At 40.7% G+C, this 15,895-nt stretch overlaps 1 pseudogene; it reads left to right on the forward strand.

Moving 5' to 3' along the window:
• RN7SL424P (RNA, 7SL, cytoplasmic 424, pseudogene) lies at positions 1,153-1,441 on the forward strand (annotated as a pseudogene).

Genomic DNA, 15,895 nt, shown 5'->3' on the forward strand with positions numbered 1-15,895 from the left:
GGATATGTCTTTATTGGCAGTGTGAGAATGGACTAATATACATGGAAAATGGATAAGGAGATAGTTTAAAGTTAACTTATTCTGGGGCCAGGCCCAGTGCCTCATGTCTGTAACCCCAGTACTTTGGGAGGCCAAGGAGGGAGAATTGCTTGAGGCCAGGAGTTCAAGGCCAGCCTGGGCAACATAGCAAGACCCCATGTCTACAAAAATGTAATTTAAAAATTAGCCAAGCCAGGTGGCATGCACCTGTGGTCCCAGTTACTTGGAAGCCTGAGGCAGGAGGATTGCTTGAGCCCAGGAGTTTGAGGCTACAGTGAGCTATGATTGTGCCACTGCACTCCAGCCTGGGTGACAGAGCAGTACCCTGCCTCAAAAAAAAAAAGAAAAAAAGAAAAAAAGAAAAAAATACATTTAGATTGTTTCAAAAAGTTTACTATTTTAAATAATGCTACTAATAAAATTTTCATACAGATAGCCTTCTCCCTACTTTTGTTTGATTCAGTTTAATTCCTCAGTATAAATTCCTAGGAATAGGAATTAGTACATATAAATATTTTTAAGGTTTTCAATACAGCTGGACAAATCCATGCTCTACCTGAGTGGCTTTCCTAAGGTATTGTACCACTTGTTGATAAATTAGCAATAGTTGTTAAAGGATTTAGAAATGTTCTTTTTTTTTTTTTTTTTTTGAGACGGAGTCTCGCTCTGTCGCCCAGGCTGGAGTGCAGTGGCGCGATCTCGGCTCACTGCAAGCTCCGCCTCCTGGGTTCACGCCATTCTCCTGTCTCAGCCTCCCCAGTAGCTGGGACTACAGGCGCCTGCCACCACGCCAGGCTAATTTTTTGTATTTTTAGTAGAGGCGGGGTTTCACTGTTTTAGCCAGGATGGTCTCGATCTCCTGACCTCATGATCCGCCTGCCTCTGCCTCCCAAAGTGCTGGGATTACAGGCGTGAGCCACCGTGCCCGGCCAGGATTTAGAAATGTTCTTAACCTTAATTCTGCCTCCAGGAATAGATCTCCAAAAGAAAATAAATTGACACAGTGAATGTTTATCAAATAACTATAATAAAGAAAACATGGACAAGAAATAAATCTCAAACAACAAAAGACAGGTTATTACAGCACATTTCACAATAGAATACTGTGTGACCATTGCACAGTGGCACGTGCCTGTAGTCCCAGCTACCGGTGAGGCAAAGTTGAGCTGGGAGGGTTACCTGAGCTCAGGAGCTCTGGGCTGTAATACACTATATAATCATCTATCTGCACCAAGTTCAACATTAATATGGAGCAAGGACCACCAGGTTGCCTAAGAAGGCATGAATCAACCCAGGTCAAAAACCAAGCAGGTCAAAATTCTCATGCTGATCAGTAGTAGGATCACACCTGTGAATAGCCACTGCACTCCAGCCTGGGCAGCATAGCGAGACCCCCATCTCTTTTCTAAAAAATCAGAATTTAGAAGAGTATTTAATAATATGAAGAAATGTTCACATTGTATCTTTAATGAGAAAGTATTATAAAACACCATGTATATTATAATCTCATGATATTTATACATATGTGTGTATCATACATTTATTTATGTGTATATATGTATATCTGTGTATTTATATAGAGATATATATAATCACACATAAACATATAAATATTAAATAGCCATATGTATAGTATAATGATATATATGGTTAAATGCCAAATATTAATAATGTTATCCCAGGAAAAAAGTAATGAGTGATTTTAATATCTCGAATTTTTTTGGCTTTTTTCACAAAGAACATATAGTACTTTTCTGGCCCAAAAAAAAGCAGTGAAAAGAAAAATGAGGCCAAATATTTCACTCTAGTTCAACTCGTCCTCATAGAAATGATACCCTGGTGGGCATTGGGTTGCCTACTCTCATCTGTACTTCCTTTTCCTTCATAAGGAACCCCAATTCGTTTAGGCACACAATCAAGAGCTTCATGATGAAGCTTTAAGCTTTGACCATCCCACCCCAAGTTCCAAGAGAAACCCTGATTGGTCTAAGGATAATCCCATTCTCCTTGCTAGTAGCAGAGTTAGCAATGGGCCACCTCTGACCAATGAACTGTGAGGTGAGATCTGAGGTAGGGGTGAGAGCTTCTGGGGATCATTTGCTTGCTTCTGAGAGAGAGCTCAGGATGAGATGGTATCTCTTCTTCCTCCAAATTTATGTGTTTTGACCAAATGCAGCCATTTTGCTCCCTGTGTGATGCTGAAACTGCCACTGAAGGCAGAAAAGCAAGAGCTTGGAAAGCCTGGGTCCTTGAAGGTTTCACTGAGCTGCTGATTTCAATAAGGCTGAAGCGCGTTCTACCTCCAGACTTCCTGCTTTGTGAGGTGATAAGTTTTCTTATTGTTAAAACCAGTAGTTCCCAACTTTTGCTATGATTCAGAATCCCTAGGGGGATTTAAATAACACTGATCCCCAAGTTTTCCTAGTGTAAAGTCAGGGTCTTCAGAGGCCAAGCGCTCTGAGTCAGGGTTTTCTGTTAGTGACATCAGAAAGCATCTTGACTGATATAGACACCTTTGAGGATATCTCCACCGTTTTTGTTGTTGTTATTGTTGTTTTGGGTTTTTTTAAAACCTTCAAAGCAGAGATTTGTTTTGAGATTTTCACACCTAGGTTCCTCCTGGAACTGAGATCTTGGCTTCTAAAGTGCAGCATTATTGATTTCTTCTGTTTCCCGGGCATTTATAGCGAAACCCATCCAAAGCCAATTCCAGGTGACTTTGGATATTTGTAACACATTAAGGATTAAAGACGTGAAAGAACCTGCTTAGTCATTTAATAAAAGTATATATTTTATGTTTTCCAGAAATACTTTGTAAAGAGTTACCTTTTTACTGTATTTTTAGCAAATATTGAGTTTGGGTAGGACTGTCAAATGAATACAGTATTTAAATATCTCATGGTTTTGGTTGGTACATTGTGGAAAGTACAGGCCTTTACAATCTTCATACCTTGAGTTTCTATAAATTCCCAACAAACTTCAAAAAGTTTTTTTTATGCAAGTACATTCTTAAAATCATGTTTAGCAGAGGGCTGTTATAAATAGTACCTTTTTAAAAGAGAGTTCAACAAGCTCTCGGATATCTACTGCGGCATCAGTTCGTAATACACATCATTGAAAGTACCATATCTGAACAGTTGGTGGGTGCAACGGCATAACAAAGCTGTCTCTTGAGATAAATAGTAAAAAAAAAAAAAATCACAGAATCCCAAATGAGAATGACAACTCCAAACTGGCCCACCACTCTCTCTGCCCTGGCCCTGGGAGTACACTTGGCTGAGGAGACAACTATGCACCTTTCAGGCACTAACACTTCCCAGTCATGGCTGTACCATCAGCACAAGCTGTGGGCTACCAATAAAATATAATAAGCCAGACCCAAAAATCTCACGATCACTGTGGGAACCCGGTCAAGCCCACCATACTACTGATGGTTTTTGTGCCATTAAACAGCAAGTAAGTTAATAATTGCAGCAATTTATCTCAATGCTCCCTGCTGCTTTTAGTGCTTAACTCAAATATAACGTTCACCAGCTTCTGCCAGTAGGCAAGATGGAGAGCTTTATCAGAAAAAGTAAAGATCGCTTTGTGATTATTATTTTGCCTTAAGGCAAAGCTACCCTTAAGTGCCCCCACACAGCTCCTGGTGGGACGTTATCTCACGAAGGCTCTGGAAATGAGCACTATGGCATTTAGAAGATTTCCATCCATGCCTGCCCCACCCCACCCCCAACACACTTTTGAAAAATTGAATACGGTGCTGTCTTAAATCACAGAAAATGGCAATTGATAAGATATAGAGTAAGCTATGTTTTCCTCCCAGCATAGCCTGGCTGACCTGGGCACTCCCTGTTCCAGACCTACCTGGTCCTTGCTTAGCCGCAAAGGCCACTTACTGTCTTGCCATTCTATGTCTATTGCTCACCTGGTATGTTAAATGTTCAGGACAGTCATACTGTCTCCACGTATGGACTCAGTGTATTACAATACAGAGCTTAATTCTTGCAGACTAAGAACCCAGCAGGTTGCAGAGGTCAGGAGTAGCCTGGGACTAACTTTTAATTGAGTGTCTGGTGGGAGAATCTCTCGTTGTTTAAGAGAAATCATTTAAGCTTCCACTTAAAGTGATTCTGTCCCTAGGTATTTTTTTTTCATCACATGTCAGTGGATTGAAGATTCAGATAGCATCTGACATCAGTGACATCACAGTTTGCCTCTAGTGAATGTAAATTGTATTTGCAAAGAAGATATTTTCAGTAGTCAAATATTTCTGAATGAAAGATGCATGGAGAAGACCAGAAGAGAAAGAGAATGTGAACTTGCAAAAAGGTAGTATCTGTATAACAACCATCTCCCCAGAAGTAACTGCTGCTGCCCAGGCTCCCACACTCTCCAGAGAGCCTTCTACTGGAGGGCTAACTGGCCAATTCAAAGGAAAGAACCTTTCTCAAGATTTTACTTCTTTTTTCTTTTTCTTTCTTCTTTTCTTTTTCTTTTTCTTTTTTTTTTTTTTTTTTTTTTTTTTTTTTTTTTTTTTTTTTTTTTTTTGAGATGGAGTTTCACTCTTGTCGCCCAGGCTGGAGTGCAATATCATGATCTTGGCTCACTGCAACTTCTGCCTCCCAGCTTCAAGTGATTCTCCTGCTTCAACCTCCTGAGCAACTGGTATTACAGGCACCCACCACCATAACCGGCTAATATTTGTATTAGTAGAGATGGGGTTTCATTATGTTGGCCAGGCTGGTCTCAAACTACTGAACTCACGTGATCTGCCTGCCTCAGCCTCCCAAAGTGCTGGGATTACAGGTGTGAGCCATCGTGCCCAGCCAGATTTTACTTTAAAATCCTAAATTTTAACTTGTGATAATCTCCCCAGCATCCCATCCCAACTGTTGGTTATTTGCTTGAGAAGTCTCATTTCTATAAAATATTGAAGAAATCCAAAAATATGATAGCAAGTGCTTTTCACGACTGCTCTGTGCTTTCACCATCTCAAAAAGTTCCCAAACAACGTAAAGTTAATTGTGACATAAAAGCCCCAATGAATTTCCAAAGATCAGGCTAGACCAGGCAAGAAATGATATATGAAAGAACATATTATTATAAGCTCTGTCGATACATCTTTGTCACTTATTTTTGGTTGGTCTTGATATCAACTGGAATCTGAAGAATGGCAGATTTTTCCACAAGGCATTGAGAAATGTTACTAATGAGCCCCAAATTATTTGTTACAATCATAAATTCTGAAATCAGCTTCTGGAGTGAAAACCCAGATCTACTACTTACTAACTATATAACTTTGGACACATTAAGTTAACATGTCTAAACCTCAGTTTCTTCATCTGTAAATTGGTGATAATATTAGTAGCTAGCTCATAGGGTTGTTGTGAGAAATACATTAGATAACAGATATGTAACTGTGTATTACTCTGCCTAGTGAAATTAGCTCTTAATAATCTTAGGTTATTATCATTTTTGTTATTATTGTTAATATTAAATCAGTGGAAATGACATTGGCACATGAAGTGAAAGCCATTTAGCAACTGCTTGGCTAGAAATGGGACTTAGAGCCTCCAGACTGCTAACCCCATGCAAAGCTACAGCTTTAATAGGCTTGCCCAGCATCCATTTGCTGTTCTGCAGGGGAAGCAACCTTCACCAGGATCCTCTAGCATTTCCATGCAACCTAACATCAAAGTGCCAAACCCTGGAATTAGCAGAAAACACTGAGTGGCTGCCGTACTGAGCTAAGGCAGCTATGACTTCTTCAAAGCTGCCTTTTTTATGGAAACAAAAGGCGCCAGGGCCCTTGGTCATTCATGGCTGTGGTTCCTCCATGTCCTGTTTCCTTAGGACCCCGTAAGATCACCCTCCTGATCCATCACTAGTTGCCATTCTAATGATCTATCAGGAAAAGATACCTGCCATTGATTCGGTTTCCCTGGGGTGGACTCACAGTAATTTATGAACCAGCCAGAGTGTCCTCTCCTTGCGGACTTAATACGCTTAACAGCTAATTACATCTGTGTAGGGATTACACTTTACATTGTCCAGCTTTATGAAAACAAACCCTGGGCTTCCTCAGATTCCGTTAAATAGCTCCTTATCTCTAAGGCTGTGATCCTTATCAGTGCCATATGTTTGAGCACCCGTGCAGTTTCCAAATGACTCCACGAACGTCTTCTAGGGTCTAATTAGTCTACAGGCTGAAGGACAGGCCTGAACAGGGTCTCATCCTGAACTAGAAACCAGCAGGCCAAAGCCAAGGGGGAAGATTCCTCCCTGCCTTCTATCCTCCATAAACCAGTCAAAGGTCAAGGGTCCAGACCCGGATGACCACATGTCAATTCTACTCACAAGGTGACCAGCATGTCCGATGTCAACCTTCATACAATGTGGAGCTTGGGTGCTCAAGTCCCAGAGGATCATGGGATATCTTTAGCCAAAGTCAAAGTGAAGTCTTTGTCCTTCCCAAGGATGCTGTGGGAGGACTATTATAATAGTAACACTTGTGTTTAAAGGATAAACGTCTTTGGCTTTTTAACACAAGCTAGCTAAACCCTTCCAACCCCCAAGGAAACAAGTCAATGCTGCTGGCTTCCTTTTGCCACCATGGCAAGGGAGGTCTCCGCAGGGAAGCCAATTTGCCTCACATACTATTTTCTCAAGGCTTGGGAGATTCCCAGGCTTGGCAGACACTAAAAACACTCCTTCCCTTGGCTTATAACAATTCAGCTAAAGACCTTGTCTTAAGAAACTCATGCAAGGAGGTGATGCAGAGTGCAAAGATCAGGAAATGTCTCCCTGTGTGAAGAGCCCGTAGCAGAGGGGCAGGCTGTAGCTTTCCAGCCTGTGACTCACAGAGTCACTTCCCTGCTTCCCCCATCCTGGACTCAGCTCCTTGGCCACTGTGTCTCAGCTCCTCTTCCTGTCTCCATTCCGCCCAGACCCCTGAACAAAGCAGAAGTCTGGAGTCCACGGCAAAGACTGAAGTGTTGTGTATATATTTGGGCGTCATCTGTGGAAGCAGCTATTTTGAAAACAAAAAATAACTTTCCTGCCCTCAGAAGAACTTGGTGGGCTCTTAGAAGTGTCTCATTTAACTGTTTGAGACAGAAAACTTGGTTATCACTCATTGGAAAAAGAGAGGCAGACAGAGTGCATTCATTTTCATTGATCTGTAATAATAGGTAAGGTGGCCCCTTGAGTTGGCCTGGTGGATAATTGCTCTGCTCTAGAGCCAAATGGCCCTGGGTTTGATTCCCCACTTGTGTGCCCTAGTCTTCTCATCAGCGAAGTGGAGAAAACACATTTTCCTCATAGAATTATAGCAGAATTGACATCTTCACCACAGTGATTTTGCCTGGGCACTGTGGCTCACGCCTATAATCCCAGCACTTTGAGAGGCCAAGGAGGATCACTTGAGGCCTGGGCAACATAGCAAGATCCCATCTCTACAAAAAAAAAAAAAAAGTAAGGCATTTATTGCTTATTATATGCCAGGCACTGTCCTAAGTGCTTTACATACAGTATTTTATTGAATCCTCACAACAACCTTGTAAGGTGTGTTCTATTATTATCTCCACTTTATTAATGAGGAAACTGAGGCTCTGAGAGGTTGAGTAAGTTGCACATGATCACACAGCCACTAAATGGTGGATTCAAACACAGGTCTGTCTCACTTGAGAGCCCAGCTGCTTGGTGTCCAATATGCTGATGTAAAAGGGAACTTGAACTTGGAGGTCCCCTGGTCCAAATGCCTCCCTGAGTCCTTAACTCCTGGCAACTTCTTGACTCCTTCCCAACAGCCTTACAGAGCAACATCCTCTTACTCCAGAATGGGAAGAACCTGAAAGACATAAAGGAAAGGGCATGTGATTGGGAATCAGATGACCCAGGGTCTACTATTCTCATGGTTTCTATCCGTTGTCTAACTTTGCCCTTTGGGAAGACAAAAAAACCCAGAATGCTTTCCTTGAAAACCTCTTCATATATTGAAAGAGAGCCCTTGCCCTCAAATCTTCCCCTGTCTACTTCCAGCTTCCCAACCATTCTTTCTGTAAGACCACCCCGATCAGCCTCTACCAGGTATGCTGCAGCTTGTCAAGTTAACCCTTAAATGTGAGCACGAGCATTGAGGGTCAGAATCCAAGGGGGTCTGACCAGTTTGTAGACAACAGGATAACTCACTTTCTTGTCTCTACTTGTTTATCTAGTTATACAGTTGAAAATTTCCTTTGCTTCTTTGGAAACCCAATCATATTCTGAAAACACATTCAACAAAAGTCCCTAAGTACTTTTGTTCTTGCTGGTGTCAAGGAGGGCAGCTTAAAGGCACTAAAAATCAATTTGCTGAGAGTCAACTAGCTAAAATTCTATTCACCAAATGGCCAATTTTATCATTGCATTCCACAGCTATTTATTTAGGGCCTACTATTGTCAGGCACTGTTCTAGGTGCTGGGCATAAAGCAGTCAACACAATAGACAAAAACTTTCTAGAATTTCTCTGGCCACTTTTGAGTTTTTCTGATTCCTTTGGAATATCATTTTAAATTTTTTCAATATTTGGACATTTTTACCATTCTTTACCATTCATTTTCAAGTCATTGAAAATGATAAAATATATTTATGAAAGGTTTAAGCCTGCATTCCTCAACTTTTGGAAAATTGAAACTTCCATAGATCCTGCTATGAAGGCAGAGTGAAAATCAATCCATAAAAACTTCATAGAAACCCTCAAGTTGCTATAAACTTTATAAATAATACTGAAGAATGTTGGTTTATTGATCAATTTAATTTGATGAGTTAGTCAGTAGGCAAATTGTTCATTTGACAACCTGACCTTTAGTAAATTGATCACTGGCTAATTGATTTTTGGCAAACTGACATAACTAATTAGCAAACTAACCAACTTAAACCTGTTGCTAAGCCTGGTGTCCCACTCCAAAATTGGTGCAGAAATATCAAATAAATTTATTTGATGCAGCCTTTGAATCCTGACCAGTGAGCTCTTTCTGAGTCTTGACTGTTATACTTCAGCCTCCCCAGGCACCTGTCACCCAGCAATTTATTCTTCATGATATGAAAGTCTTTGTGCAGATCTTTAAACCAAAGGAACCAAGAAGAGCAGTACATTTCTTTGAAGGCCTCCATGCAGTTTGTTGAGGGCAGGTTAACTGACAATCTTTGAGAACTGTCTTTCAACAAGGTATGTCTACCACACTACGCTACCGCTAGCATCATCACATGAATATAAAAATAGCTAAGCTTTCTTGAATGCTTGCCACATTTGAAGTAGTGTGCTACCTGCTTTACACACATCTCATTTAATCTTCATCCAGATGAGGAACATAAGACACAGATAGGTTAAGTAACTTGCTCAAGACCACATAGCTAGTGAGTAACACACTCTTTCCTCTGGAAGTTAGATGTTTATTACAACGCTGAGCTTTTGTGTTTAGTCATTGCTTAGTGGAATTATCCCATAGGTAAAGCTACCTTAAAGAAGGGAATGTTGAAGCCAAGACATACTGACTAAGACACTTAAAGGTCCAGGTCACCTTAATATGTACCTGTCATTTGGCTGATTGATTTATTATAGGATGAGTCAGCTCACTGCCTGCCATCAAGAGAGATCTCATCCTGGCTTTTATCTCAAGTAAGAACATGTCCCCCATGTCTTCAGTAGACTGGATTCAATGCTGGTATATGTGACCTTTCATACTGAGGCTTCAAGCCTTAACTGCCCATCTTCACTTGTAACATGGTGATAACAGCACCTAATGCAAGGGCCTTTGCAAGGATTTAATGAGATAATATATGAGGCTCGATGCCTGGCATGTGGCAGATGATCAATAGCAGTTCTCCACCCTTCTAGCTGCTCATGTCTGAGTGACTGCAGAGCTACTTAGATGCCTATCACCATGAAATAGAGAGAAATAATGCAAATTAAGTACATTATATATATTTATTTTTAAATTCTATTATGCTGTGATTAAACTTGCTCCAGCATATCTGTTGTCCAAAATTAATGCTCACTGGTATTTTTTTTAAGTGAGCATTATTAACTAATTTTGTAAGAGCCAACTTACGAATGGATTCTGGCATAACATTTTGCTCCTCTGTCAAAGAAGCAATAAGCCTTCCTCCAGTACAAAGGGTCACAGGAAAAAAAGCTGGACCAAACTCTGAAATTCACTGATGAATAAGAAGATAAGAGAAGAATGAGGATGCTTTTTTCTCTCTTCATGACAGATCTTCAAGGTAATTTGCCAACCATATTAGACAGAGGAGCAGGGGAACAGCACAGCAATACATCATGATCTATCCACAATGATTGAATTGAGGGAAAATTCATTTCTGTTGACTCAAGTACAGGCTGCTGAAAAGATTCTCAAGGTGATTTATACAGAAGTACCCTTTGCTTGGTGAAACAGGTGTATTTGTGAAGTGTTGTGTGTGTTGCTTGATAATGTTTTTGAAATCCCCAAGAAAAAAATCATTATATGAAACAATCCTTACTGAATAATTCCTAGTAAAACTAATGAGATGATAGAACGTATTCTTTCTGTACTCTGTATGTTCATCCATTAGAAAAGTAAAAGGCAGCATGGGCACTGTGGCTCAAGCCTGTAATCCCAGCACTTTGGGAGGGCGAGGCGGATGGATCACTAGAGGTCAGGAGTTCAAGACCAGCCTGGCCAAATTGGTGAAACCCTGTTCTACTAAAAATACAAAAATTAGCTGGGTATAGTGGCACACACCTATAATCCCAGCTACTCAGGAGGCTGAGGCAGGAGAATTGCTTGAACCTGGGGGGACGGAGGTTGCAGTGAGCTGAGATCACACTGCTGTACTCCAGCCCAGGTGACAGAGTGAGACCCTGTCTCAAAAAAAAAAAAAAAAGAGTAAAGTAAAATACAGAACAGTAGTAAAAAGGACAATATAGCATTGCTTAACGATTACACCAAAGATTCCTTCCATGTTGCCATTCAGTCCCTGCTAACACGGAGTTCTTCCAGAGCACCAACACAATCTCATCTTGCTTTACAAGTGAAATGCAAATTTTGCAACATGAGGTGAACCAGACTAAATAAGCCTAATTTCCTCAGCCTTCTGTAACAGGGTTCTTACCTGGGTTTTTCCCATGAGCTCCCTGACTCTAAAGTCAGCTTAGGTGCCTCCATGGTAAATCTATGCATTACGATACTTAAAGAGGTTCCTGAACTCAGCTCTTTACATAAGAATGACTGAATAAAGAATAACTGAGCCAATAGTGAGAACTATGCTCAATTCATCAAGGTAAGACCATAAAGATATGTAGACTGTTCTGGAATAAGAGTGGCCTTCCTCCTCTCTGTGGTTCTGCTGATAACCCTTAACCCATGAACCTAAGGAAATAATTTTGACCACTGCCTAATAGGTTGTCTGGCACATAGTAAATCCTTAACAAACACTTGTGGAAATCATTAATGACACTCTTTTTGTGCATCCTACTCTGGCCTACCCACGTGGTCTACACTGTGATACCTACATCTTGCTTAGGGTCCCAATTACTTAAATGAGTTCATATTAACCAACTCTGTAAAATAATGTCTGGCGCATTTAAGCACGTTATAGATGCAATTAAATATGATCAAATAAATATATATAAATTAAATATTACTCACTTAATGTTTAGTATTAAGGGCTGAATCTGAACGTGACACTTGGTTTCTACGGAAGGCCTTGCTTTTCCCCACTATGTGTTTTGGGATGTCTGCCAGTTTTCTTGTTAACCTGGGGAGTGACTATGAGATATTGATGTTCACTTTCTGTCTAGCTTGAGTTCTCTGCCTCGTATCTGGGTTTTCATTCCAGTTATGTTCTCTCTGTGGCAATGAATGGAATGTTTTCAATCCCCTTTGTCAGGATAAGTTATTTCAGCTTAAAGAGATCTCCCGTGCAAAGCACCAGAATCTCGTTAAACCTCTCCTGGTAAGGTTTGTTCGGAGGGCTCCTGGTGAGTCATTCCATGTCTGGATCCTATGAGCTGCGCATAGACCCAGAGTCAGACATTGTGAGAGTACCTTTAACTGGAAGAACTCAACCCACAAAAGGACCTTTCTACAAATACATGTGTTTTCTAACTAAAATCTGAAATCATGAAAAATATAGGAAACAAGCTAGTTTAGCATTATTGAAAGTGTTGGTCCTGCATGATGTGATTAAGAAAGGATAATTTTATGAGTTAGTGAGGCTTGATGGCATGCGTTTCTTTGTTCTTATTGTGCTAAAGGAAAATAATGAGTTGATTTCCAGAGATATAGCTAAATGTGGCTGCAAGTGTCTAGCTATTCATGTCCCTGCCCATTTATTTTCTTTAGAGATAATCAAAGCTCTTGTATACGTTTGCACCAAACAGTAAATATGTAATGAAAATTTTTTTGAATCGGTGTCTTTCCTGAATTTATTCCCCCAAAATATTATTTCCTGAAGAAAGGAAAAGATAAACAGAGCAAAAAATGAAATAAAGTTAGAGTAAAAACCATTTTCTTATTCTGTTTTTCTATTGCAATATCTAAAAGTTGAGAGCTTCAAACAATTAAGGGATGAGGGTCCACTGTCACCAGCTTTTGGTAAGTACGCTGATTCTATGTTCTAAAATGCTTGGCATAAACAACAGGTGAGTATAAAATAAAAAATTAAACCACATATTTTCTTTTCTTTTTTTATTTTTAAACAAAAAAATTCACAAAAGTGCTGAATTTAACATCTAGGAGGCATTAAGTAATTACAGGAAAGTCATATGTTGCGTTATAAAGCAAATAAAATCTATGGTGCAATTTGATGTCTTCTCAATAACATTCACTTGATATCAACCACAGTTTACTGTAAACCTTGTCTTATCAGTAGTCTTCATTAGAATACTTTTTCCTAACTCAGATAACTCCCCCCTTATCTCTGAGTTAGACCTCTCCTGGGGCCAGTATGTTCTACTACCAGAACTTCAGGTCAACTTGGCTGTTAATTTCTCTCCGGGTTGCTCCTCCCAGATTCTGCCACTTTTCTCCATTTCAATCAAAAACAGGGTAAACCGTATTTTACCATTTTAATTTTTTAGCACCTAAGAGCAGTCTGTAACTTTTCCAAAAGTTAAACTTAAATTTGCTTTCACAAAAACGCTACAGATTTTTAATTATGCCTAAATCCTTAAATGGAAGAGATTCATTTAGGAAACGCAATCTTATAAAAATGTGTTAGAACCCCCTTTGAGCTGTGCTCACTGCATACCCAAGAATACATGGACTTGCCCAGTGCCCCTAAGGGAAAGGCCCATGCAAATGAGGAAAGATGTGTAAGAACAGCTATTTTTTTCCAAAGACTTTAGCTTTCTGGGTTTGCCTGCATTTTATCATCTGCTGATAAATATCTGAGTCAAAGGTAGAAAGAAAGACATGCTGGGGGTACAGGAAAATTGGGTTAAGTCAGCAACTAGAAAGCTGTGGGTTGTGGTTTTTTGCTTTTCGTCCTTTTGTTGAAGAGGACAAAGGAATGTGCATTGATAGGAAAACCTAATCCGGGGTAGTGAACTGAAACCCCCCCCTCCCCACAGCTCTCACCTCTCCTGCTGGGGTCGGGGGTGCAGAGAAGAAGGTGAGTGGAGAGAGAAATGGAAGATGAGGAGACGAGGGTTTAAAGGGAGGGAGAAGGACAGAAGTGGATCAAGGGAGAGAAGGAGGGAGGGCAGAAGCCAGAGGGAGAAACAGTAGCCCCACCTAAAACACACCAAAAGCCTCCAAGGAAAGCTTTGAAAATAAGACCCTGCAGGAAGCACTTTTAGAAACCACAGACTTTTCTTCAATACAGGGGCAAATGAGGAGAAAAAAAAATGCTAAGAACAAGAGGCATGGAAGACAGAAAAGAGAGGAAGAAGGCCAAACCTCACCTCCTAATCATTCTGCCTGAGGTGCTGAAAGCATTTCTTAATAAAGTGTGAAGTTTCAGCTGAATCCAAATTTCTGGCATTGGAAGCAATGCCAGAGCCACTTATGAAAAAGAAAATCTTCTCTTTTTCTTAAAGTGAAGAAAATCCTGTGTTTTCCTACAAGGTCTTCTCCATCCCAAATAACCTAGACTCTTCCATTCATTTACTGAAAGAGACTGTAACAACAGGAACAGATGAGGAACTCTCTACAAGGCCAGCCTGACCCACAGTTTACCAGTGTCTTTCAGGAGACCCTAATGTTCTCATCCCCAATCTGGAAGTGCCATCCCCAAGAACACACAACAGCAACAGCCCCACCCTTCATCACAAAGCTGTGCAGAACGTCTCAGTGACGTGCTAGTTTTGAACAATGATACAATAGGGTTGTTGCCAACCACAGGGAAAACAGGGATATTTAATAAACAGTGCTGCCATGATTGATAATCTGCTTGAAAAAAAGAATAAAGTTAGACTCCTATTTCACTTTGCTCCATATATGCAAATAATCCCAAATGGATTTAAATGCAATAAAAGAAGAAAATTTAGAATTGGGGGTTTAGAATTGGAAAGACCTTCTCTAATAAAATTTTTTAAAACCTAGGAGCCATTTTTTAAAAATAGGGAGAGGCATATTTGACTAGATAAACATTTCAAAATCTTGTATTAAAAAATCACAAAAAATAAGGTCACTTATTTGGGCCAATAATTTATTAAATAACTCCACCTACTGAATTTGGGTGATGGTAATCATTCAAAATGGCAATAATGGATCTTATGTTCTGACTCTGTAAGTATAGAGTAGAATATTATTAGAGACTGTAAATCTGGTCCATGCCTCCCTGCACTGCCATGGGTCTGATCACTTGTCTCAGGGTCTTTCACCCCCTGAGTTTCATGATTGGCTATTCTAACAGATATGGAGTTCACTGGAGGGCCAAGGAATCACATATCTCTGTTTTAACATCTCTAAAGTGCTTAGAATATAATATGAAAAAGTGTTGGGGGGTGTGTGTGGAGGGATGTGTGTGGGAGTGTGGATGTGTGGGGGTGGTGTGTGGTGGGTGTGTAGGACGTGTATGGGGGAATGTGAGGGGGGTTGTGACTGTGGGGGGTGGGTTGTGTGTGGGTGTGTGTGGGGTGTGGGTGAGTGCGGGGGTGTTGGATGTGTGGGTGTGTGGATGGGTGTGTGGGGGGTGGGTGTGTGTGGGGGTGTGCATGTGGGGGGGTGTGTGTATGTGGGTGGGTGTGGGTGTGTGGGTGGATCTGTGTGTGGGTATGTGTGTGCTGGTGGGTGTGTAGGTGTGTGGGGGTGGGTGTGACTGTGAGGGGGTGTGAGTGTGAGTATGGGGGGTTGGATGTGTGGGTGTGGGGGGGCTGGGAGGAGGTGTGGGTGTTGGGGGGTGTATGCGTGGCGTGTGTGTGTGTGTGTGTGTGTGTGTGTGTGTGTGTGTGAATTCTTTGTAATGAAGAAGAAGAGGGAAGAAGCAGTTAAACTTTAAACCAGACATACTTATCCTCAAAATAGTTGTGGTGATATTATACCCTCATACTTTGTACTACAAATACATTTATTGGTTTGTAAAATATATAATCAGTTTATGAAAATATCCCTTATAAGAAGAGTAAGAAAACCAGTAAAAATGTAAAACAACCACATGGAAATTATGTCTGATTCCTTCTTCTCCATTTTATTTTATTTTTACCTTTTTTCTTTGAGATGGAATCTGACCATGTTGGCCAGACTGGTCTTGAACTCCTGGGCTCAAGCGATCCTCCCACCTTGGCCCCCCAAAGTGCTGGGTTTTTAGGTGTCGGCCACTGTGCCCAGCCACCCCCTCTTCCATTTTAGAAATGATGGGTACAGTAATGCAACCTTGCAAAGGGATTCC

Source organism: Homo sapiens, chromosome 4 (assembly GCF_000001405.40).
Source record: "Homo sapiens chromosome 4, GRCh38.p14 Primary Assembly".
Lineage (NCBI taxonomy): Eukaryota > Metazoa > Chordata > Mammalia > Primates > Hominidae > Homo > Homo sapiens.